We start from the raw sequence: 23834 nt of genomic DNA, 5'->3' as shown, positions 1-23834 counted from the left end.
AGGAAATTAATTTCTAACATTTAGCTATTTGAATACAATACCATATTATAAAAGTGGAGAAAAAGATTATTTTACTGATTTCCTGTTGACCTGCTTACTTGGATTGGTAGCCATGATTATACTATCAGTATTATAAAATACAGATAAGTTTGAGTAACCAAAGTATTTATAAAAATAATCTTGGCATTCTGTTACCTCATTGCATCATGAAGAAATTTCCAAAGTGTTGTATGTAAAAAAAAAAAAAAAAAATTTCTGAGTCAGATTATTGCTGTGTTTCACCCAGGCTGGAGTATAGTGGTGCGATCATAGCTAGCTGCAGCCTTGAACTCCTCCTCAAGCAATCCTTCCTCCTTGGCCTCGCAAAGTCCTGGGATTACAGGCGTGAGCTACTGGGCCTGACCTACAAAATGTTTTATGCTTTCGTGAGTACTAGGTTTCTGATTTCAGCTTTTTTTATTTAATGAGGATGCATTCATTCATTCATTCAGTATCTACTTTATTCTAAATAATTACCAGGTGCTCTTGTGGAGATACACAAGTGCCCAAGAAATAATCCATGTGCTTTAGGCATTTATGACTTAGAAAGTGATATAGAATAAATTACCGAATAAATTTATTTTAAGTCCAAATGAAATCCATGCTTGAAGAGGTGCATTAGTATCCTGTGCCTGAAAAAAAGGGACAATTAATTATTTTTATCAGGAAATGCTGTAGAGAGGGGGTGATGTTTTCACTGGGTCTTGAAGGATAAGCAGTGTTTCAATAGCAGGCAATGGTGTCAAGGGCATTCTTGGCTGAGAGAACAGCAATAGCAAGGACACAGAGGAACATTCTTGACATGCTTAGGACACTAGAGACAGTCTAATATTAGTGATGTTCACTGTGGGATGAAATGTAGTGAGATGGGAGAGAAGTTAATTAGGAAATAGGCCAACCTCATAAAGAGAGAAGTGGTAGTCATTTCTCTGACATGTATCAACCCGAGTTTAGTGCTGATTCTATCAAAATAACTGAACACAATGTTTACAACACATTTAATTGGGAAAGAATGTTGAAGATTATCTAGTTTAATGTATCTCTCTCTCTCCCCACTTTTTCCAAGCCATAGGCTCAGAGAGAGGTTAAGTATTTTTAATCAAGACCATACAACCTGGAGGTTGTCTGGGTATGAAATATCCCACGTTGCTATATTTGGTTTGTAGCTCTTTCCACTATAGTAGTACAACAGAGGCTGCTGGTCTATGTGGCAGAGTAGAAATCCAAGGCAGAGATATTCCCTGTTGTTGATGGCAAATAAGGCAGTAATTTCCTAGTTTTGTAAGTAGGCAGTGACTTAAATTTGATGCAGGTGACTTCTCAATATAGCAGACATGTGAGGAAGTGCAATTTGGTTCCAAAATTGACCCATCCAGGTAGTCAGGTTTGTGTTAGGTGATCAATATCCCTACAAGGGCTACTTGATCAGGCATGAACATCTGTTTCCGATTGATCCATTAACATTCCTTCTTGGAAATTTGGAATTGGGAGACTGAAAGACTGAGATAAAAGATCATGTAGGTTAAGGGCTAACACTGAAATCCTGATGAGCTAAAGCCAGATGTAAAAAGAGACAGAAAAAGAATAAAGTGAGTAAAAAGAGAAGACAGAAGCACAGAGAGAGGCAGAGACAAAGAGGGATGGAGATGCAGCTTCAATGATACTAATTTCCAGCTGTTTCCGATCTTATCCAGTGATGTGTAATTCTACCTTTATGTGCCACATCAGTTAGATCTGACATATTTGAGCTGGCTTGCATGGGCCTCTGCTCTGTGCAAGTAAAGCAGCTTTGACCAGAAAAATCCATGTGACTCTGTTAACTCCAAATGGTGAATAACCCCTTTGTATTTTCCTTTGAGTTGTGTTTTCTTTACTTCTACCTTTGAACAAAAACAAACAACTTAACCCCCCTGATTCCTCTTCAAATGAGAAACTCTAGCTTATCTATTTTGTTATTTGGGGGGAAATGCTTCCTTTAGACCTGTTGAGTCAGGATTGCCCCTTAAATTACTAAAGGACAATGGAAGCTGTCTGAAGCTGTCTAGTGTTCAAGACCAATATGTATTAGACAGTAAGGCTTCAGTTGCCTCTGGAACAGAACCCTGCATCAAGAACATGTCTCTGTCTGTTGCAGAATCACCTTTCAGTTGAATGACCAACTTGAAATCTGAAGAACAGATGAGTGATCCTTAATAGTTTTCTTTTCCCTCTTCATCACCTCATTATCATTAAAAAGGGCAATAGATCTTAACAGGAATGCCGAAAATAGCACTCTGTAAAAAGGAATAAAATAGGTGTAGACACCATGCTGGGGCGGGTGTCACAGAAACAGCCTTCTTACTGACCATTGCGCTCTCAGGATAATGAACCATCGTAAATCTTTTGAACTGGGAAGAAAATGTTATGTATTTAACTAATTTGAGACTAATCAAGATATAAGAAGTATGCCTTGATTTGAAAATGCTCTTTTTATACACATTAATGTATAAATACCATAAATATATTTATAAATTATTTGTAAATAATATATTTATAAATTATAAATATGAATTTATAAGACATATCACAATCACCTAAATATCATTTTGCCTATGAAGTACCATGCATCCTATTTAGCAAGAATTGCCTGCTGACTTTTGAAAGGTGTACTTACACAAATTTTTCTAGCAAATCTATAAACAAACAAATGAAGAAATAGGAAAAGTGTTGAATTGGCCAGAACGTTTAAGACATTCAGTGACTGGAATCTTAATGTAGACTCCTGGGTTTGGAAAGACCAATAAACAGTTTAATCCAGCCATTGGTTCTCAGAAAGAAGGAGCCTTCGAGGGGAGATTTGTGCTGGAGCAATTTGCAATCAATTCTCTAGCTCCGCCCTGTTTTAGTCCAGAAATACCATGGGTTAATACTCATATCTCTGTCTTTGCTGAAAGGAAAGAACCACTTCAAGCCTCATTATCCTCATTAAACCACAATCAGTACCCACAGATCAAGGACTACCTGCAGACAGCTTTAATCAGGCAAAATAAAAACAGCTTCTGTCTGAGTTTTGGAGCTCAGCAGGTCTGTTCATAGTGATCTTCCTGACTCTGTTAATGCTTAACTCTGAGCACTTGCCAGAATTGACCTCTCCTACTTTAGCCACAAGTCCTTGAGATCGGACCTAGTCCTTTTGTCTACTCAAGTCTATGTAAAACTCTTCACTTCTAAATTCAAAGTCTAGCCTTTCCTGACTATCTGTCTCTCTGGCACTCTAGCCAGTGGTTGAGAACCCAGAAAGAGGGATCAGGCTTCAAGTGTTGATTTCCACACTGAATATTATTCCCTAGAATATTACTTAGTCTTTCGGGTGTCATTCTCTTCATCTGTAAAATAGGGAGAATGAAAAGTGTATTGCACAGTTGCTTTAAGAACTAGATAAAATGTATACTTGATAAGATGTATACAAGGTCTCTAAAAATTCTAGAAGTATGGCAAGGTTCTCAGAAAATAATAGCAAAAGCTTGCTCATGTGGCTTTGTAGTCTCAGAGTATCTATTATTATTATTATTGTTATACCATAATTAAAAACACATGGTCTTATTTTTACATTTGCTAATGAACAAGTAGAGCAGTGTTGAAAATATACGTGCAAAGTATATCTCCTGCTTAAGACCCTAATTTAAATAATTACTTTAAGTTTTGTGAAATACCAAGACTAATCTTGTAGAATAAGCTTGCTAATAAGAGACTTAAAAATACTGGCTCAGCATTTGAAAGCATTCATTTTTCCCCCTATAACAATAGTTGTAAGTGAACAATATAAGTGTAAAATGATATTAAGGGAGACATTGGAGCCCTGAGCTTTCTATTCTTTCATAAAAGAAGCATCTGCTTTTTATGCCCCCAGAATCACATCTCCTAGCTGCTGAAAATGGCAAAGCTCTTTTATTTGAGAAAATATAAATTTAGGATTATAAGTCAATTAGCACAAAAGGAAATGATGAAATGCTAAGAAAAAGAGTTTGGGTTAATTTAAAGCCGCTTAGTCTTTACAGGACTTTGGCTGGAGTATAATTTAAGCGTTTCTATACAGGTGGCAACATCTCTTGGGGGACCTGCCTTAGGTTCAGAATTGTGACTATTGATAAAGTGACTTAAGAGATGTGATTTAAGTGATGTACGGCTTAGATAAGTTCTCAGAATTTACTGTCAAAAGAAAGTTCTGTGGCTAACAGAAGAGAAATGGTCATTTCATCCATCTATCATTTTCCTTCACTTGGAGAACTAGTGTCCTAAATGTATATGTCATAGTGTCCCAGAAAGAACACACTCCCCATTTAAGGGAGTCTGGATGACAATGATCTGAGCTCATCTCTGCCACTGGTCACTGCACATCTGTGGATGTTGGGGTTTTATGTAGGTGATCTTTACATTTGAGTTGCTGAAAGAATGGGGTTTTTATTAATCTGATTATATTGTCAGAATCCTTAGATTTGAGTCCTACATCCATCACTGTTATGGGTTGAATTGGGTCCCCCTAAATTCATTCATATGTTAAAGTCCTAATCCCTGATATCTCACAATGGACCATATTTGGAGGCAGAGTGTTTACAGAGATAATTAGTTTAAGATGAGGTTATTAGAATGGGTCCTCATCCAGTATGACTGGTGTCTTTATAAAAAGGGGAAATTTGGAGACAGACTTGCATTCAAGCAGAATGCCATATGAACATGAAGACGACCATCTACAGGCCTGGAAAGAGGCCTGGAGCAGATCCTTTCCTCACAGCCCTCAGGAGACACCTACCCTGCCAACACTGAATTTGGACTTCCAGCCCTCAGAATTGTGAGAAAATAAATTTCTGTCATTTAAGCCACTCAGTTTGTGGTACTTGCTTATGGTAGCCCTAGAAACAAATACAATTACTTATTAGCTGTGTGACTTAGACAAATTACAGTCTTCCCTCAGTATCTGTGGGAGATTGGTTCCAGAACTCCCCCAGATACCAAAATCAAAGGGGCTCAAGTCCCTGATATAAAATGGCATAGTATTTGCATATAGTCTATGCACTTCCTCCCATATACTTTAAATGATCTCTAAATTACTTATAATACTTAATACAAGGCCAACACATTACTTCATTTGTGTGGATTCTACATAGCTCTGAGTGCATGGCAAACTCAAGTTTTGCTTTTTGGGAGTTTGTAGAATTTTTTTTCCTAAACCTTTTCATTCCACTGTTGGTTGAATCTGCAGATATGGAACTCATGGATGCATAGGGCTAACTATACTTAAATTCTTTTAAATCTTGGTTCTTAGCACTGAAAATGGGCATGATAAAAACAGAGTTAAAAAGGAAGAGTTCTCAAGCTAGTCCTTGGGCTCATATTCCAGTTCTACTACTTAAGAGATATGTAACCTTGGGCAAGTTGCTTAACCTTTCTCTGCCTCAGTGTTTTTACTGGCAAAATAAAGATAATAATAATGGTTATGTGTCCAGAACTGGTTCCTTCCGGTGGGTTCTTGGTCTCGCTGACTTCAAGAATGAAGCTGCAGACCTGAACGGTGAGTGTTACAGCTCTTAAAAGTGGCGCGCCCGGAGTTGTTTGTTCCTCCCAGTGGGTTCTTGGTCTTGCTGACTTCAGGAATGAAGCCGCAGACCCTCGCAGTGAGTGTTACAGCTCATAAAGGTAGTGCGGACCCAAAGAGTGAGCAGCAGCAAGATTTATTTTGAAGAGCAAAAGAACAAAGCTTCTGCAGCATGGAAGGGGACCCAAGCAGGTTGCCGCTGCTTGCTGGGATGGCCAGCTTTTATTCCCTTATTTGTCCCCACCCACGTCCTGCTGATTGGTCCATTTTACAGAGCGCCGATTGGTCCATTTTACAGTGTTGATTGGTCTGTTTTACAGAGTGCTGATTGGTGCATTTACAAACCTTTAACTAGACACAGAGGACGATTGGTGCATTTTTACAGAGTGCTGATTGGTGCATTTACAAACCTTTAGCTAGACACAGAGTGCTGATTGGTGCATTTTTACAGAGTGCTGATTGGTGTGTTTACAATCCTTTAGCTAGACAGAAAAGTTCTCCAAGTCCCCACTCAACCCAGGAAGTCCAGCTGGCTTCACCTCTCAATCCCCCCTCTAAACAGGACACCCCAATGGCTGTTGGGAATTTGGGTGATGACCATTCTAGCTACTTCCTGCTGGATAGGGCAAAGAAGGGGCCTTGCAGTTGTAGTGTTCTCCAGAGGGGAACTCTTTAGGCCAGTGAAAGGGCCAGCAGGTCAGTCCAGGGGTCCTCGGTAGAAGTTGTTAGTTGAGCTCATTTGGGGTTCCATTTGTAAGACCATCTGTAGCTTGATGGCCTCTATCCTAGAGGAAACAAATTTGACAAGAAGGTTAAAAATACAGGGCCTGAAGGCGAGTAATAGCAAGATAGCTGTCACAGGACCTAGAAAGGGGAGAAGCCATGTCGCCCAACTCCAGAGGCTGGCAAAAGAGTTTGAAAGGCGTTGTCTGATTTCAGAAGACTTTTCTTGTAAATGCTGGGTGGCATCTCATACTATCCATGACTGGTTAGTGTAAAAACACTCTTCCCCTAAGAAGGTGCAGAGTCCTCCTTTCTCAGCAGTGAGGAGGTCTAGGCCTCGGTGGTTTTGAAGAGTCACTGCTGCCAAAGAGTCTATTTGGGATTGTAGAGTAAGGATAGATTTCGTTATTTCTTGCAAACTGTCTGAGAAATCCTTTGAGAGTATGTGGTAGTAGGATAATGAAGTAGATAAACTGGCTATTCTGGTTCCTGTACCAAGAACCATTCCTAACCCTGTAAGTAGGGGTATTAGTTGTATGGCTCTGAGCTGACAGACTTGAACTTTGAGGGGTACTCATAGGGTCTGATTTCCTGGGGCAATGTTAATGTTGGGACTTAGAAAGACTAAGGTGCAGGTGCCTGTCCAGTTAGTGGGGAGGCAGACATAGGTTGACCTTTCACATGAGAAGAATATACCTTGGTGGGTAGACAGAACTGGTTGTGTATGTTAAAGAGGTGTGTGAGTTTGTTCTTTCCATTTTCCCATACTCTTAGAGTACTTGCCAAGGTAGCTCCAGTGAGCGGCTCGAAAGGGCTGTTGGGAGCAAACTGAGTGGCTCCCTGTGTTCTATTTTCCCAGTGGAGAGAAAACCATTCTGTATCTACTAGGAACAATTTGAGAGAGTGATTGAAAGAGGGGATGAGAAGGCATTCACTAGTGGTGGGGGCACTGCTGCAGGGGGCCCAGGGGTGAATGGTCATGCAGGAATTATGTTTGCCCTCACAAAACCTGGACTGTTTGTTATGCAGGGAGGAGGTGATGATTTTTGGAGGACCTGAGAAGCAGACAAGCCGGCTGAATGGAGCTGTTTGGGTGACTTGGAAGTTACTATGATCTGTTGGGGCTTGAAGTTGTAGGTTGTAATTATACTGATGGAGTAGTAGGTGCCCCAGGGGCAGGCCTGACAATAGGTTGCATTGGATGCATAAAGGGGCTTGGAAAGTTAAGATGGTATTCATAGTTACAGGGCCATGTATGGGCTTTTCATTGCTTGTGTAATAGGTGAGGTTGGAAATGTAAGAACGTAAAAGTTGGATTGCACGTCCTGTTAGGATATTCTTGGTCCTATCAGAGATGGGGAAGTTGGCTAATGATTGCATATTTAGAAGTTGGAAAGGGTCTTTTCCTTCATAACAAGGGTGATAGGTTAAGTTGGTAAAGACCCAATTTTTTTGTGGGAATGGGAGTGGCAATGTAAGCAGAGGTTGATAGAGAGATACAAAGCCAACAGTCATTTACCAGGGAAGGATTGGACTATTTTAACAGAGTGTGGGTTAAGTTCAGAGTCTTGTGGAGGTAATTAGGAGCTAGTGGAAGGGGGGTGGGGCAATTGTATGAGGTATCCAAGGAAGCAGGAGGGATAAATAGGCAAAGAGTAAATAGGAAGGTAAAGAGGGTGCTCTGGAAGACAAAATCATTTTATCCAGTCTGAGTTAAAGATAGGAGTAAATTGCTGTCAGAAGGAAAGAAGATAGAAAGAAGGTTGATGTGATTAGGATTTTCATCCCGGCAGGAGCTACAGTATATAGTCCTATCGCAACGAGTATGGTTAGTATGCTGCTTAATAATATGATGAAATAGTAAAAGGATTCCATTAAAGGGGCAAGGAGAGGTGTTAAAGATAAAGATTATGTAGGTTTTCACTTATTTTTTTTAAGGAGGAAGGGGTTTTCTTCAGGATCAGTGGTAGGAGCCTTTTTAGTCTGGGATGTTTCCTTCTGAAATAGGAGATGCAAGTCCTCCAGTGGCTCACAGGTGTATCGAGGCTGGTCTGGCTGATCTTGGGACTCCTGAGCTGACAGTCCCACAGGTTCCTCAGAGGGTGTCCAAAATTGAACTCCGGTGTGGTGAATCCAAGATTCTACTCCTGCCACCTTAACTGCAGTGGGGGTAGAGAGGATTACTGAGTATGGTCCTTCCCACAAAGAGTCCATAGATGGGGAGGTAGAGGGGAGAGATTTGACCAACACTAGATCTCCTGGTTGAAACAACTCTGTTCCCTTTTCTCTGTGCCATCCTTCAGGTAGGTTTTTAAGGTTTTGTTGATATTTTGCCAAAGAAGTTATATCTTTGACCAAGTTGGCCATTTCCTGGTCAAGTAGGAGGTCATTTGTGAGAAAAGGTCATCCATACAGCATTTCATATGAACTGAGCCCCATTTTGTGAGGAGAATTTCAGATTCTCAACAAGGCCATGGGCAAAAGAGTAGTAGGCCGTGGGAGATGAATTTCTTGTGTTAGTTTCCTTAAGTGCCTCTTGAGTGTTTCATTTGCCTTCTTAACCTTCCCTGAGGATTGTGGCCTCCAGGTGCAGTGAAGGTGATATTGTATCCCTAGTGCCCTGGAAATTCCCTGAGTTATCGTGGCTTTAAAAGCTGGACCATTGTCACTCTGTAAGCTTTGGGGAATCCCAAATCTAGGAATTATTTCATGAATTAGGACTTTAATCACTTCCTGAGCCTTCTCTGTCTTGCAGGGGAAAACTTATATCCAATTTGTAAAGGTATCAACACAGACCAACAAGTATTGAAATCCCTTTGACTTAGGCATATGGGTGAAGTCTAACTGCCAGTCCTCTCCGGGATAGTGACCTATTCTTTGTTCCCCCAAAGGGGCCTTATGATGGACCAAGGGATTATTCCTTTGGCACACCTCACAGGATTTGACTACCTATTGGATGGTCTGGGGGAGATTTGGCCCTGCAAATAGGGATTTGGCCATTTGATGAGTGTTTTCAATACCCATATGAAAAATTTGGTGGAGGGTTTTAAGTATTTTCCGCTGGCTGACTTCAGGTATAAGTACTTTTCCTTCTTCTATCATTAACCACCCTGAGGGGAGAAAATTATGCCACCGTGAAAGTCCCCATTCTGTTTCAGTTGGGGAATACTGGGGCTTAATCTCTTGGAGGGGGTTGTTCCATACCAAGGGTCCTGCCGTAGGTATTTCTAATGGGAGGTTCCACCTGGCAGCAATTTTGGTCTCAGCATCTGCCCAACAGTTTCCTTCTGCCTTTTCTCCTTGATCTTTCTGATGGCTTTGGCAGTGGAAGACTGCCACCTCCTTGGGTTTTTGCACTGCATGCAATAACTCCGTAATTTTCTTGTGGCATTTAATGGGTATTCCCCTAGAGGTTGGGAACTCCCTTTCTTTCCATATTGCAGCATAGACATGTAGGATTAGATAAGCATACTTGCTATCTGTATACACATTTATTCTTTTTCCTTTTCTCAGTTCTAAGGCTCGGGTAAGTGCCACAAGTTCTGCTAACAGGGTGCTGGTCCCTGGGGGATGAGGCTTACTTTCAAGTACGATTACATCACTAACTATGGCATAACCTGCCCTTTCTATCCCATTCTCCACAAATGAACTTCCATCAGTATATAGGTTAAGGTCAGGATTAGCTAAGGGGACTTCTAAGAGATCATCTTGGGCAGCATAAGTCTGGACTATAATTTTTTGGCAGTCATGCTCAATTGATTCCCCATCCTCTTGGAGAAAAGTGGCAGGGTTGAGGGCCACACAGATACATATTTGAAGCACCAGTCCTTCAAGGAGTAGCACCTGGTATCTAAGTAGACGGTTGTCTGATAGCCATAAACTTTCTTTGGCACCTAGTATGCCATTTACATTGTGAGTAGTCCAGACAGTGAGATACTTTCCTTGTATTATTTTGATAGCCTCTGACACTAGGATGGCCACTGCCACAACTACCCATAAACAGTGAGGCCAGCCTTTTGCTACTACATCAATTTCCTTACTTAGGGGTGCCACTGGTTGTGGGGTTGTCTCATGAGTCTGAGTAAGGACTCCAAGAGCTATCCCTGCTCTCTCTGTGACGTATAAAGAGAAGTTTTGTCCTGTGAGAAGGCTTAAAGCTGGAGCTTGTATTAGGGCCAGCTTTAAGGTTTTGAAGGCTGTTTCTCCCTTGGTTCCCATTCTACTAGATGAGCATTTGCCCTCTGGGTCTCCTTGATTAGAGTATAGAGTAGTCTGGCCATCTCGCTGTATCTGGGGATCCATAGTCGGCAAAAGTCAGTGATTCCAAGGAACACCTGCAACTGTTTTAATGTCTTAGGGTGAGGATAAGCCAGTATAGGCTGTATTCATTCCTTGCTGAGGGCCCTGGTCCCTCTGGCTAAGATTAGGCCTAGATATTTGACTTCTGTAGGCAAAGCTGGGCCTTCAACCTAGATGCCTTTTACCCTTGATTAGCTAGAAAGTTCAAGAGATCTAGAGGAGCCTGCTGGCATGAGGCTTCCAAACTGGTAGCCAAAATAAATCATCCACATATTGAAGGATCAGAGTGCCTGGACCTGAGAAGTGGCCTAGATCTTGGGCCAGTGCCTGACAAAGCAGATGAGGGCTATTCCTAAACCCTTGGGGCAAGACTGTCCATGTAAGTTGGGACGTGTGGTCTGTGGGATCCTCAAAGGAAAAGAGAAACTGGGAGTCAGAGTGCAGGGGAATATAGAAGAAGGCATACCTGAGGTCCAGAATGGTGAACCATTCTGCTTCCTCTGGTATTTGAGAGAGCAGGGTATAGGGTTTGGATACAACTGGATATAGAGGAATTACTGCCTCATTGATGAGTCTAAGATCTTGCGTTAGTCTCCACTAACTTTGGTTTTTAGTACTCCTAGAATTGGGGTGTTGCAGGGACTGCTGCATTTCCTAAGTCTTGAGCTTTTAAATGTTTAACAATATCCTGTAATCCTTTATGAGCTTCAGGCCTTAAGGGATATTGCCTTTGATAAGGAAAAGTGGTGGGGTCTTTTAGCCTGATTTGGACTGGGTGGGCATTTTTTGCCCTTCCAAATTGTCCTTCCAATGCCCAGACTTCAGGGTTGATTCCCTCCTCAAGTGGGGGACAACAAATGGGTAACTTGTTCCCCATATTCATGTAGATAATAGCTCCAGCTTAGGCTAATATATCACTCCCTAATAAGGGTGTGGGACTTTCAGGCATAACAAGAAAGGCATGTGAAAAGAGCAAAGTCTCCCAATTACAACTGAGGAGTTGGGAGAAATACCTGGTTACAGGCTGTCCCAGGATTCCTTGGATGGTAATGGACCTTGAGGACAGTCGTCTGGGATAGGAGATTAACACTGAGAAGGCTGTGCCAGTGTCCAGGAAGAGTCCACTTCCTGGCCCTCAATGGTTAAACATACCCGGTGCTCAGCGAGGGTGATGACATTGAGCTGGTGCTTGTCCTGGGCACCCTCAGTCCTGTTGTTGGATCATCTGGTTGGGGGATTCTGGCCCAGAAAACCTTTGCCTTCTGGGGCAGTGTGCCTTCTAGTGATTGCCTTGGCACAGTGGACATGGATGAGGGGGAGGCTTGTTTCTCGTTGGACAATCTTTTTTAAAGTGTCCTTGTAAACCATACTGATAACAAGCCCTACTGGGTGACTGGCCTGCTCCATTTTCTGTCCTCTCTGAGCCACCAAGGTTTGTTTGTCTGAGGGCCGTAACTAAGGCTGAGGCCTTTCTCTGATATTGCTTTTCCTTTTTGGCCTGTTCCTTTTTGTCCCTATGATAGAACACCAAGGTTGCCAGGTTTAATAATGTCTCCAGATTTTTTTCAGGGCCCAGGGCTCACTTTTGGAGCTTTCTCCTGATACCTGCAGCTGATTGGGTAATAAACTTATTTTTTAGGATCAATTGACCCTCTAGTGAGTCAGGTGACAAGGGAGTATATTTTCTTAAGGCCTCCCATAGCCACTTGAGGAAGGCAGAAGGATTTTCTTCCTTTTCCTGAGTTATGGTGGACATTATTGAATAATTCATGGGCTTTTTCCTAATTCTCCTTAGTCCTTCTAGAACAGAGGTCAGCAGATGTTTACGACTCCAGTCTCCATGATCTGAGTCTAGATCCCAGTGGGGATCCATACTGGGGATGGCTTGCTGACTGGTAGGGAATTTGTCCCTTTCTTCGGCTGTCATTCTATCATTTATTTGACTAAGATACCAGGTATCTCCAAACTCTTGGGCTGCAGCTAAAGCCACATTCTTTCCATTAAAGGCCAGGGTTTGATCTAACAATAGCATGACATCTCTCCAAGTGAGATCGAAGGTTTGCCCTAGCCCTGTAGGACATCTGTGTACCTAGCAGGATCATCTGAAAACTTCCCCAGGTCTGCCTTGATGTGCTTTAAATCAGAGATGGAGAAGGGGACATGTATCCGGGTTGGGCCAAATTCCCCTCCCCCTACAGCTTGAAGGGGACATAACCAATAGCCCAGGGGTTTTTGTGGTCCTTTGGAGATTTCTTTGCTTTTTTCCTTCTGGGCAGGGGAAATTAGAGGAGGCTTATCATTAATAGGAAGGGGAGCTATAGGGAGGCTAGGATATGGGGGTAAGTTGAGAGGTCCTCTTGTGGGATGTAAATTGCAAGCTTTGCACAGTTGTGGATTCTCCTTCAATGAAAAGAAAGCTTAGACATGAGGTATTTCACTCCATTTGCCTTCCCTCTTACAGAAAAGGTCAAGCTGCAGGATAGTATTGTAATTTATACTTCCCTCAGGTGGCCAGTTTTCCCCATCAGAGAGAGAATATTGGGGCCAAGCCATAGTGCAGAAAAAAATGAGCCGCCTCTTTTTCCGAATTTGTGGGTCAAATTGGTCCCAATGACTTAGGATGCATTTCAAGGGTGAGCGTGTTGATGCCTGAGTGTTTCCCATCTGAAAGAAAAAACCACCTGCAGTTTTGGTTTGTTTGTTTCTCCCCCTGCCCAAGAACCCACAATGGTCCCTGGACCCTGCTGATCAGAATAGTTGTGCTCACTGACGCAGCAGCAGAAACACCTCTTGCCCAAGAACCCACAATGGTCCCTGGACCTGCTGATCAGAATAGTTGTGCTCACTGACACAGCAGCAGAAACACTAGTTTTCCTCCTAGACCACAAAGAGGACTGAGGAATATTGGATTTAGTGGCCCTTACCAATGCATTCTCAAAAACCAGCACCCTTGCCTGTCTTCCTAGACCACAAAGAGGGCTGAGAAAAATCGGATTTAGTGGTCCTTACTGACACATTCTAGAAAACCTGTTAGAGTCCTAAGCATTCTCCTGCTAGTGTTGGGAATTTACCCCTGTCCTATAAAGATGTTATGCCTGAAAAATGAAGTGGAGGGCCATATCATGAGGTAGGAAAGGGATCTCCAGAGTTGGAAGAGTGATGCCTTTTGTCCTCTCTTATATGAATAGGAAGGATACAATTTCTGAGACTCCCCATATCCTAGCTTCAGGAATAGCTTTTGTTAGGCCTGCTAGTCTGAGGAGAGATCCTAAAATTCCAGTTATTCCCCTCTATGATGGGGCTTTGGGCAAAAATTATGTCTTTCTGATTGGTGAGCCCAGGTGCCTAAAGAAGGGAATAGAGTCCTGGAGTTTATACTAGAAACCATTCTTATAGGAGAAACTAGAAAAGCACCAGAGACAGGGAGTGGTTTTTAGAAGCGGGACTAGCCTCAGAGAAGAGAGGCGAGAGGAAGTTTGTCTGATAGGCATTAGGACCCAGGAGGCAAGGGTCAGAATAGATAGGATAGATGGGTGAGTCTCACTTGGGCGACATGACTTTAAGAGTTCTGCTCATGGCCACAGGGTCAACCACCTTTTTGTCAGGACTCTGCAGCTGAATGGCTTTCCTTTCTGTCAACCCTCGGCTCAGCCTGGAAGTACAGGAAAAGTGGAAGCTGGTTCCAGGCAAACCAATGCTCCCAACTCCAAAGAGTTGGGGGTTGTTAGAGAGCCCTTTCTCAGAAAGCCTGACACCTATGTCTTTAGTCCGGCAGCTGCGCTAGTTGCTTTTAGCTGGCTGACAGGTGCCCGGTATTTAGCCCATAAATTCGAAGGAAAAATAGGACAGAATAGCAAGTGAAAGGGGTCCAATGGTTCTCACCGCTTGGTGGTAGGCAAAAGTCCCATCTGGGTTGCCAAAATGTGTCTGGAATTGGTTCCTTCCGGTGGGTTCTTGGTCTCACTGACTTCAAGAATGAAGCTGCAGACCCTCGCGGTGAGTGTTACAGTTCTTAAAGTTGGTGTGTCTGGAGTTTATTCCTTCAGATGTTTAGATGTGTCTGGAGTTTCTTCCTTCCAGTGGGTTCGTGGTCTTACTGACTTCAGGACTGAAGCCGCAGACCTTTGCAGTGAGTGTTACAGCTCTTAAAGGTGGCACGCCTGGAGTTGTTTCTTCCTCCCAGTGGGTTCTTGGTCTCGCTGACTTCAGGAATGAAGCCACAGACCCTCGTGGTGAGTGTTACAGCTCATAAAGGTAGTGCAGACCCAAAAAGTGAGCAGCAGCAAGATTTATTTTGGAGAGTGAAAGAACAAAGCTTCCACAGCATGGAAGGGGATCCAAGTGGGTTGCCACTGCTCGCTGGGATGAACAGCTTTTATTCCCTTATTTGTCCTCACCCATGTCCTGCTGATTGGTCCATTTTATAGAGTGCTGATGGGTGTGTTTACAAACCTTTAGCTAGACACAGAGCGCTGATTGGTGCATTTTTACAGAGTGCTGATCGGTGCATTTACAAACCTTTAGCTAGACACAGAGCACTGATTGGTACTTTTTTACAGAGTGCTGATTGGTGCATTTACAAACCTTTAGCTAGACATGGAGTGCTGATCGGGGTGTTTTTACAGAGTGCTGATTGGTGCATTTACAATCCTTTAGCTAGAGAGAAAAGTTATCCAAGTCCCCACTTGACCTAGGAAGTCCAGCTGGCTTCACCTCTCAGTTATAGATTTGATGTGAGGATTGAATGATAATGTGTGTAAAGCATTTGGAATTGTATCTAGTACTTTGTAAGTGCTTAATAAACGTTAGCTATTATTAGCCATTTGGAGGATAAGCTAGTGTGTATAAAACATACAGCACAGTGTCTGGTACCTAATAAATGCTCAATAAATGTTTATTATTTATAATTTCTTTTTTACTAGTCATCTTAACTGGTTCTAATAACATTAAAAAGAATGCAAAGGTCTCATTTAAAGAATAAATCTTTAAACAATTAAAATTATAGAATACAGTGATTAAAAAAATTCCACAGTAAGATTTTTATTAATATATACATATTTGTCATATTGCCTGTACAATCTTTAAAAGCTGTCATTGTTTCTTTATATTCAACAATAAACATCTGTACTCATTTTTGAACATCCTATTCATGTCAATTTTGTTGTTGTGTGTTTCTTTAACTGAAAGGTCCAGGGTTTTTACATGTTCCTTCAGTAAAATTAAAGCAATTTCCTAGAACTAATATTTTACATTGAGAGAAAGTCTTCAATATTGTGCTATAAAGGAGGATGCTGTTTTTCTTTGCCTTTACTGTTTTCACATTTTTCTTCCATGTTCTTTTTTCCTTCCCCCAAATAGTATTAAAATTGGAAATATCCTCACCGTCTCTTACAGCTATACCTGATGAAATTAAGATATAAGGACTTTCATGATTCATTACAGTGATAGTCTCAGACAAATAATTCTTAGTAAATGACTTCAACTATCAAAAAGAGGTGACTTTTGAACTAATTCAAGAGAGAACAAAAGAAGACAGTTTTAGGTGACTGAAAGTGTTTTCCCTTTTAATTGGCATTTCATATCTCAGTTAATAAAAACTTTGTCTTTGGGAAGAAACTTCTTATAATTCAGGTCTTCATAATTCAAAGTTAGATGAAGTAGATTGTGAAATAGTCTAGTGGCTGTCAAGTGGTCATGGGTGCAGTTGTTAAACAAAAGAAAGAATTGCAAACACTCCTAGACTCCACAGTGAATACATTACCCTTGCAGTGCTCTGGTGAGAACTGTTTCCACAGTGGAGAGGAGATGGTGGTTTGTTTGATTGTTTATTGCTTTTGTGTTTTTTAACAAGGTATATTAGGGTCTCAGCTGGAACACAGATGATCTACTCAAAGGAATATCTGAAGAGTTTAGTTGAGGTGTTGCTCATAGAGATGTGGACAGGCAAAAGGAAATCAACAAGAAAGAGGGAAGCACCCAGGGCTAGTAAAATTGAAAAGGTGTTGCTACTTTTAGACAGACAATGGCAAGGGAAGAGAGCAGTTACCTGAATGGGCGGGGAATATAGCTCTGACATCAAGTTATGGCTGCTAATAAGAACAAGGAGCCACATCCAAACAGCAATAAATTCCTTAACCCATTTATGTTCCTGCCCACTGGTTCCCCTCCAGAACTTCCCAGTGGTAGAACATTGAAAGCTGGAGAGCAAGGGAGCCTAGTAATAGCCCTCGGAGGTCAGCTTCCTGAGGCACAAAACAAGGCATAGAAAAAAGGCTGAAAATAAATCTGGAAGGGCAAACGAAGAATAATTTGTGTGCAAATGTTTTGTTATCATAAGTTAAAACTGCATTCTAAATATGTGACCTTTAAAAACTTACTTTAAGTTTTGTGAAATACTGAGACTAATCTTGTAGAATAAGCTTGCTAGTAAGAGACTTAAAAATAAAGGCTCAGAATTTGAAATCATTCGTTTTTCCCCCATAACAATAGTTACAAATACACAATAGAAGTGTAAAATAATATTAAGGGAGACATTGGAGCCCTGATGTTTTGATTAGAATAGCAGTTATCATTTCTCAAATACCCAAATGTAACATGGAATTCATTCTTTTATACTCAATAATAATCTTGATCCACAAAAATAATTGTTGGTATCATGTGTTCAAATGTTGTTTTTCTTCATTGGCCATTAAATACAAATGAAATATTTGTCATGACTCAGGGCTTTACTGATTATTCGATTGAATATTCAGCTTCACTGGATCATGCACAATGCATATAGGAGTTATTGATATGAAATATCATTATAGTTATCATCTTCATATAAATGTTGAGATTAATGGAAGATAAAAATGATGTTTTTTGAAGGGTGAGACTAATACGCTGTTGAGTGACAGATTGAGCATCAATATTGCATTAATTATTTCTGTTTTCTTAGTCACCACATCAAATTAATCACTTTGGCCTTGGTGACTTGGTATTGAACTTCTGGGAGCACTTAAAAGCTAAACCAACCATATGGTGAGTGGTTAAGAATATGACTCTGGAGTCCAATTGCCAGTGTTCAAATTGCAGCTCAACGACTAGCTAGCAGTGCAGGCTTGGGAAAATACCTTAACATTTTAAAGTTTCTGTTTCTTATAAAATATATCTGATAATATTACCCTCATTATAAAGTAATTGTAAGGATTAAACAAAAATATAAAATATTTAGTATAATATTTGTGCATGAAGTAATTACCACTTAGGTTGGGGTGCTATAGCAAAGTACCACAGACTGGGTATCTTATAAATGACAGATATTTATTTCTAATAGTTCTGGAGGCTGGAAGTTTGAGATCAGGATGCTGGCATGGTTTGGTCCTGGTGAGGACCTTCTCAAGGTTGCAGACGGCTGACTTCTCTTTATGTCCTCACATGGCAGAAAGAGATCCAGGTAGATCTACGGCTTCTACATGAGCACTATTCCCATTCATGATGGTCACACCTTGGTGATGTAATTACCTCTCAAATGTCCCACTTCCAAATACCATCACATTGAGATTGGACCCATGGATTTGGAAGGGACACAAACATTCAGTTCGTTACAAATTATAATTCTGAGAATGAACTGAAATTATCATTTAGATAGAAACTGTGAAAAATGTAACTAGTCAGGATTAATATTCAGTCTACACTATCTAGAAGAATGCCCTTACTGATGTGAAGTTATATACACCTTAGAAAATTCTCTATTCTTTAGCAGCATGGAGTATAGTAGAAAACAAGGAGAAAAAAATTATAGAAACAAAAACATTTCCATTGGCAAAGAGAAAAGAGCATCGCCAAAAAATTAAAGAATTGTAGCTACTTTCTTATTCTTCTGAAGTTGAGTCAATGGACCACTCAGTGAAACTACATAAGTGATTTTTTGTTACAATATTATAAAACATTAAAGATTTAAGATAAGACAAGTCAGAACTTTTCTTAAAGCAGACTGAGAATATGGTCATTTCCCTTTGCTCAAGGATATGAAGAGAAATGACAATATTTCTGCCATTAGACACAAAAAACTTGGTTCCCAGTACTAGTTCTACAATTACCTGTGACTTTGAATGAACTACTTCTCTGAATTTCAGTTTTCTTTTGTAAAAAGAGTGAGCTGGAGAAAAGCGACAATTTTCAAAATATTTTTCAGAAAAATTAGGTTTGTTAGTCCATTAAGTTTGGGAGACAGTACATTTTACATTTCCCTCTCAGAAATTCCTACAGTATCTGCATTTATAGTACATCTTACATCTCCCTGTCAGAAATTCCTACAGTACCTGCATTCATTAAAAATTCTGAGCTGGGCTGGGTGGGGTGGCTCACGCCTGTAATCTCAGCACTTTGGGAGGCCGATGTGGGCAGATCACGAGGCCAGGAGATTGAGACCATCCTGACCAGCATGGTGAAACTCCATCTCTACTAAAAAAAACCAAAAACACAAAAATTAGTTGGGTGTTGTGGCACGTGCCTGTAATACCAGCTACTTGGGAGGCTGAGGCAGGAGAATGGCTTGAACCTGGGAGGCAGCAGTTGTGGTGAGCCGAGATTGCACCACTGCATGCCAGCCCAGAGACAGAGTGAGACTCCGTCTCAAAAGAAAAAAAAAAATTCTTAGCTTTTCTGAAGAAAAAAAAAAACAACAGCAAACAAATAAGAAAGAAAAGGCAGTTCAATTTTTGTTTAATCTCATTATTTTAAACTTGCTCAATCATAAAATCTTTTTGTTAACATAACATCTATTAATATCCTGAAAAACTACTACAGTAGTCAGTGAAATAATACTGTATTAGAGGATTTGTATCTTCCATGTTTTGAAATCTAATTATTGAACTCTGTTTTTATGATATGGAAGCTATATAATAACTCTGTGAGAAAACCTGATTGATTAAATATTCTCAACTCATTTCTGCAAGTAAGGGTTAAAGGACAGGAGAACCCTGGGAAGTTCATTTCTCATGTCTGAGACCCAAAAGGAAGTAGAAAGCTAATTAAGTCTGATTCCCTAGAGTAGGGTAAAATTGACTTTTTTGCTGTTCTGTAGTACACTATGTGAAATTCTTAGAAGACCAGAGATGATTGAATGTATATGCATTTTAATAAATTATCTACAATAACCATGGAGCTCACTGAATATCTAAATCTACTTATTTACCATAGTGTTTTTGAAAATCTACTCATTAAATCTCAGTAAAATATAGTTATTATTTTCCTTGTACAAATGCAGAAATAAAAGTACAAGAGTAGAAGACATAAGAGAATTGTTGCTACTTATTATGAACTTGGAAGCAAACTTATTCTTTAGTCATTCTAGAATGACACTTGCCTTCAGAAACCGTAGTATAAGTTATCTTGGTTTGGGCCTGTAATTGGGCCCAAAGACTCACAATATATGGAAGTACATTTGAAATATTGGAATCTTTACTACCAAGCTCTTTTCTACCATTCAAATTTCTTCTTCTGATAAACAATAGAATAGTATATGTTTGAAATAATTCAGCTGTACAAATTTGTATTCCTTAGGTTTCCATAGATTAATTTAGAATATTAATTTAATTAGACTATACTTCAAACAACCCAGTTAAATGCCTTTGCTTACAGAGATTTCAATAGGTATAGTGCTTGCATTAGGTATGTGTGTGAGAATATTTGTTTATGTGCATGGATGTGTGTTTATGTGTGTGTGTATTTTGAGGATTACTCTAGAACTTGATAATCTCTTTTAAAGGTCATATGAAAGACAATTTCAAGGTTCCACTCTGTAAATATATAAAGTAGCCCAAATTTTTCTTTGAGATTACTCATTTCCTTCTTCTTGGCTCTTTCCCCCTTCTTGTATTCTCAGCCACCAGAAGCATAGCCTGCTATTATTTCAGTCCTATCATAATTTTTGTTTCAATTCATTTTCTGTCTTACCACTTAGAGTAGATAAGGTGTTTTCTACTACTTGCTTAAAATTAAAAAATAAGTAAACAGCAATGGTTGCTTCTGTCATGATAATTATAAAATAATATGTTTTATTGAGTACTTTTTGATTTACAAAAACGATACTTACATATATTATATTGAATTCTTTCGATGTCTGTTAATTAGGCAATTACTTTTTTATCTACAATCTCAGAGAAGTTTAACAGCTTGTCTAAAATTTAACAGCTGGTAAATTACTAAGCCAGGATTCAAATCTGGGGCTGCCCCAATGTTCTCATTCTACCACAACAAACCAACTTACCCAACAATGTCTATGCACATTGTCATTCTGCCACCACACGTGTTGTGGAACATAGTTTAGCATATGGTATATTATACAGAATATTTCATGTGCACTTGCAAAAAATACAAAGTCTGATCTTTTTTAGTAGTGTTCTATAAATGCCGGTTACATCAATTTGGTTGACAGTGTTGTTCAGCTGTTTTATATCCTTACTGTTCTTATGTTTAATTTTTTTTTTTTTTCAATTGCTAAGAGAGGGGTATTGAAATATTCAACTCTAATGTTGAATCATCTATTTTTCTCTTCTGTAAGTTTCTGCTTTATGTATTTTGGAACTCAGTTGTCAAGTGCATATGCCTTTATAATTTTTATATCTCCTGATGTATTCAGCATTTTATTATGAAATGATTCTTTTTGTTTCTAGGAATGTTGCTTAAAGTTTAGTGGAGTATTAATATAATGTCTCCAGCTCTTTTATAATTATAGTTTTCATGGTTTGCCTTTTCTATCCATTTACTTTCTACCTATTTGTGTGTAGTCTTGTAGACAACATATAGTTGAATCTTGCTGTTTTTTAAAATTTGTTTTTTGGATTTTATTTTATTTTTAATTTCAACTTTTATATTAGATGCAAGGGATACATGTGCAAGTTTGTTACATGGGTATATTGTACCTGATAGTGAGCATAGTACCCAATAGGTAGTTTTTCATCCTATGACCCCCTCCCTTTCACCCTCCTCTTATAGTTGATAGTGTCTGTTTTTCCCTGTTTATGTCCATGTGGTGTGTTCAATGTTTAGCTTCCACTTATAAGTAAGAACATGTGGTATCTGTTTTTCTGTTCCTAGGTTAATTTGGTTAAGATTATGGCCTCCCGCTCCATTCTTATCCTATTTGACAATCTCTGCTGTTTGATTATTTTGTCCAGTAATATTTAACATAATTGTTGCAATATTTAGATTTCTATCTTCAATTTTATTATTTTTTGTATGTCCCATGTCATTTTTTCCCATTTATTTAACACCTTCTTTTTTTGTTTAACAAATATTTTTCTGTGTACAGTTTTCATTTCTTTGTTAATGTTTAACTATATTTCTTGAGTTGTTTAGTAGTTCTAGTGATTATAACATACACTTTTTATAGCATCTTCTTCAGGTTAATATTAATTTATTACAACTTTGCTCCAATATAGGCTTCATTTTCTCCCTTGCCCTTTGTTCTAATATTCTCATATTTATTACAATTATCTATGTTGTAAGCCTACTCTAGCAGTGTTATAATCATGAGTTTATATAAACTTATGTTTTTCAAAGAAACTAGAGGAGAAAAAATATATGTAGTTTTTAATATTTATTCACAAACATTTCACTTTTAAAGCTCTAATTTCTTCCTGTGGATTCAAGTTACTGTTTGGTGTCATTTTCTTTCAGCCTGAAAGACTTTAGTATTTCTTGTAAGGCAGGTCTACTAGAAATGAATTATCTCAGTTTTTATTTATGTATAACTGTCTTTGTTTCACCTTCATTTTTGAAGATTGTTTTGCTGTGTTGACAGAGTTTTATTTTCTCCAACATTTTTAATATGTCATTCCTCTGCCTTTTAGCCTCCATTGTTTCTGACAAGAAGTCAGCCATTAATCATACTGTTGTTCCCTGGTATGTCATAAGTCATTTTTCTCTTGCTGCTTTCAAGATTTTCTCTGTCTTTCACTTTCAGCAGCTTGACTGTGATGTGTCTAGGTATGTATCTCTTTGTGTTTATCCTGTTAGGGTTTTTGAATTTTTTCATCTATAGAATAAATTTTTTAAGATCAAATCTGGGAATTTTCCAGCCATTATTTCTTTGAATAATTTTTCATATTTCTTTTTCTCTCTTCATTCTATGGCTTCTATTACACATATATTGGTACATTTAAATTTGTCCCACAGTTCTCTGAACATCTGTTCAATTTTCTTCTTTTTCTCCTTATCCGGCCTCAACTTCTTAAAGAACACTGGCAAAGCCCAATGAATCTCCGGACAGAAGATAAATATAGGAAGCAGAACACCTATACCCTCAAAACCTAAGGCCTAAGGCTTATCTGTAAGTGGAATGAAAGGAATAGTGTGGCTCTAAGTCTTTGGTACAATATTTGCCTACTCCACTCTGCAAAACCAAAGCCCGGCAGTTAATATGATTGACCCATCCTCTTGAGATAGTAATTAGTGACCATTTATTATTTTTCAAGCAAGTCCTTTGAGTGCATTTGCTGGCTTCAGAAGGAAACAGGCAACAGCAATCCCACTTCCTATACCAAGTAGCTGATCAAAATGTTTCTTCCAAAATCAGAAAATACTTGCTCTGCGGGGGAACTCTAGTAATTATATGCAGCGTTTTCCTTGGACATGTTACTTATCCTTTCTTGTGTTTCGCTCTCCTGTAATCTATGAAGGGAGATAATAGTAGGTATTCTATGGAGTTACTGTAAGGACTAAATAAGTTAATATATGTAAACATGTTAAAAAAGTGGCACATGGTGAGAACTCTCCATGTATCAGTGTTTATGATGATTGTATTTAAAATTTCTATGATATTTTATGAATAGAACTCCAGAGATGTACTAGTATACCAAGTGAAATGGCACTCCAGGTCATTTCTCAATATGACCGTGGGCCAACCTCAGTTCTCAGGACTTGTATTGCCCATGTTGGGAGGATGCTTCCAATGATAAGTCCTTTAAAGAATCACCATGACAATATTGTTCGGATATAGAATTCACAGTTGCCCTTAAATGGTGTATATACATAGCAATAGAATGAGTCAGTGATTAGGATGACATTTCATTTTGGTTATTTTATTTTATTTGATACAGAGTCTCACTCTGTCGCCCAGGCTGGTGTGCGGTTGTGCGACCTTGGCTCACTGCAAGTTCTGCCTCCTGGGTTCATGCCATTCTCCTGCCTCAGCCTCCTGAGTAGCTGGGACTAC

At 39.4% G+C, this 23834-nt stretch overlaps 1 long non-coding RNA gene across 1 annotated transcript in view; it reads left to right on the top strand.

Annotated features, from left to right (window-relative positions):
- Positions 1-340: 340 nt before the first annotated feature.
- LOC105378314 (uncharacterized) overlaps positions 341-23834 on the top strand; it is a 147384-nt gene continuing 123890 nt past the window's right edge. Inside the window, exon 1 of the long non-coding RNA XR_001747454.1 lies at positions 341-425. This is a non-coding gene — a long non-coding RNA (uncharacterized LOC105378314). The remainder of the gene's footprint in view (positions 426-23834) is intronic.

The sequence above is a fragment of the Homo sapiens genome, chromosome 10, assembly GCF_000001405.40.
Source record: "Homo sapiens chromosome 10, GRCh38.p14 Primary Assembly".
Taxonomy (NCBI): Eukaryota; Metazoa; Chordata; class Mammalia; order Primates; family Hominidae; genus Homo; species Homo sapiens.
Note: the sequence above shows the minus strand (reverse complement) of the source record. Positions and strands in the feature narration are given on the sequence as shown.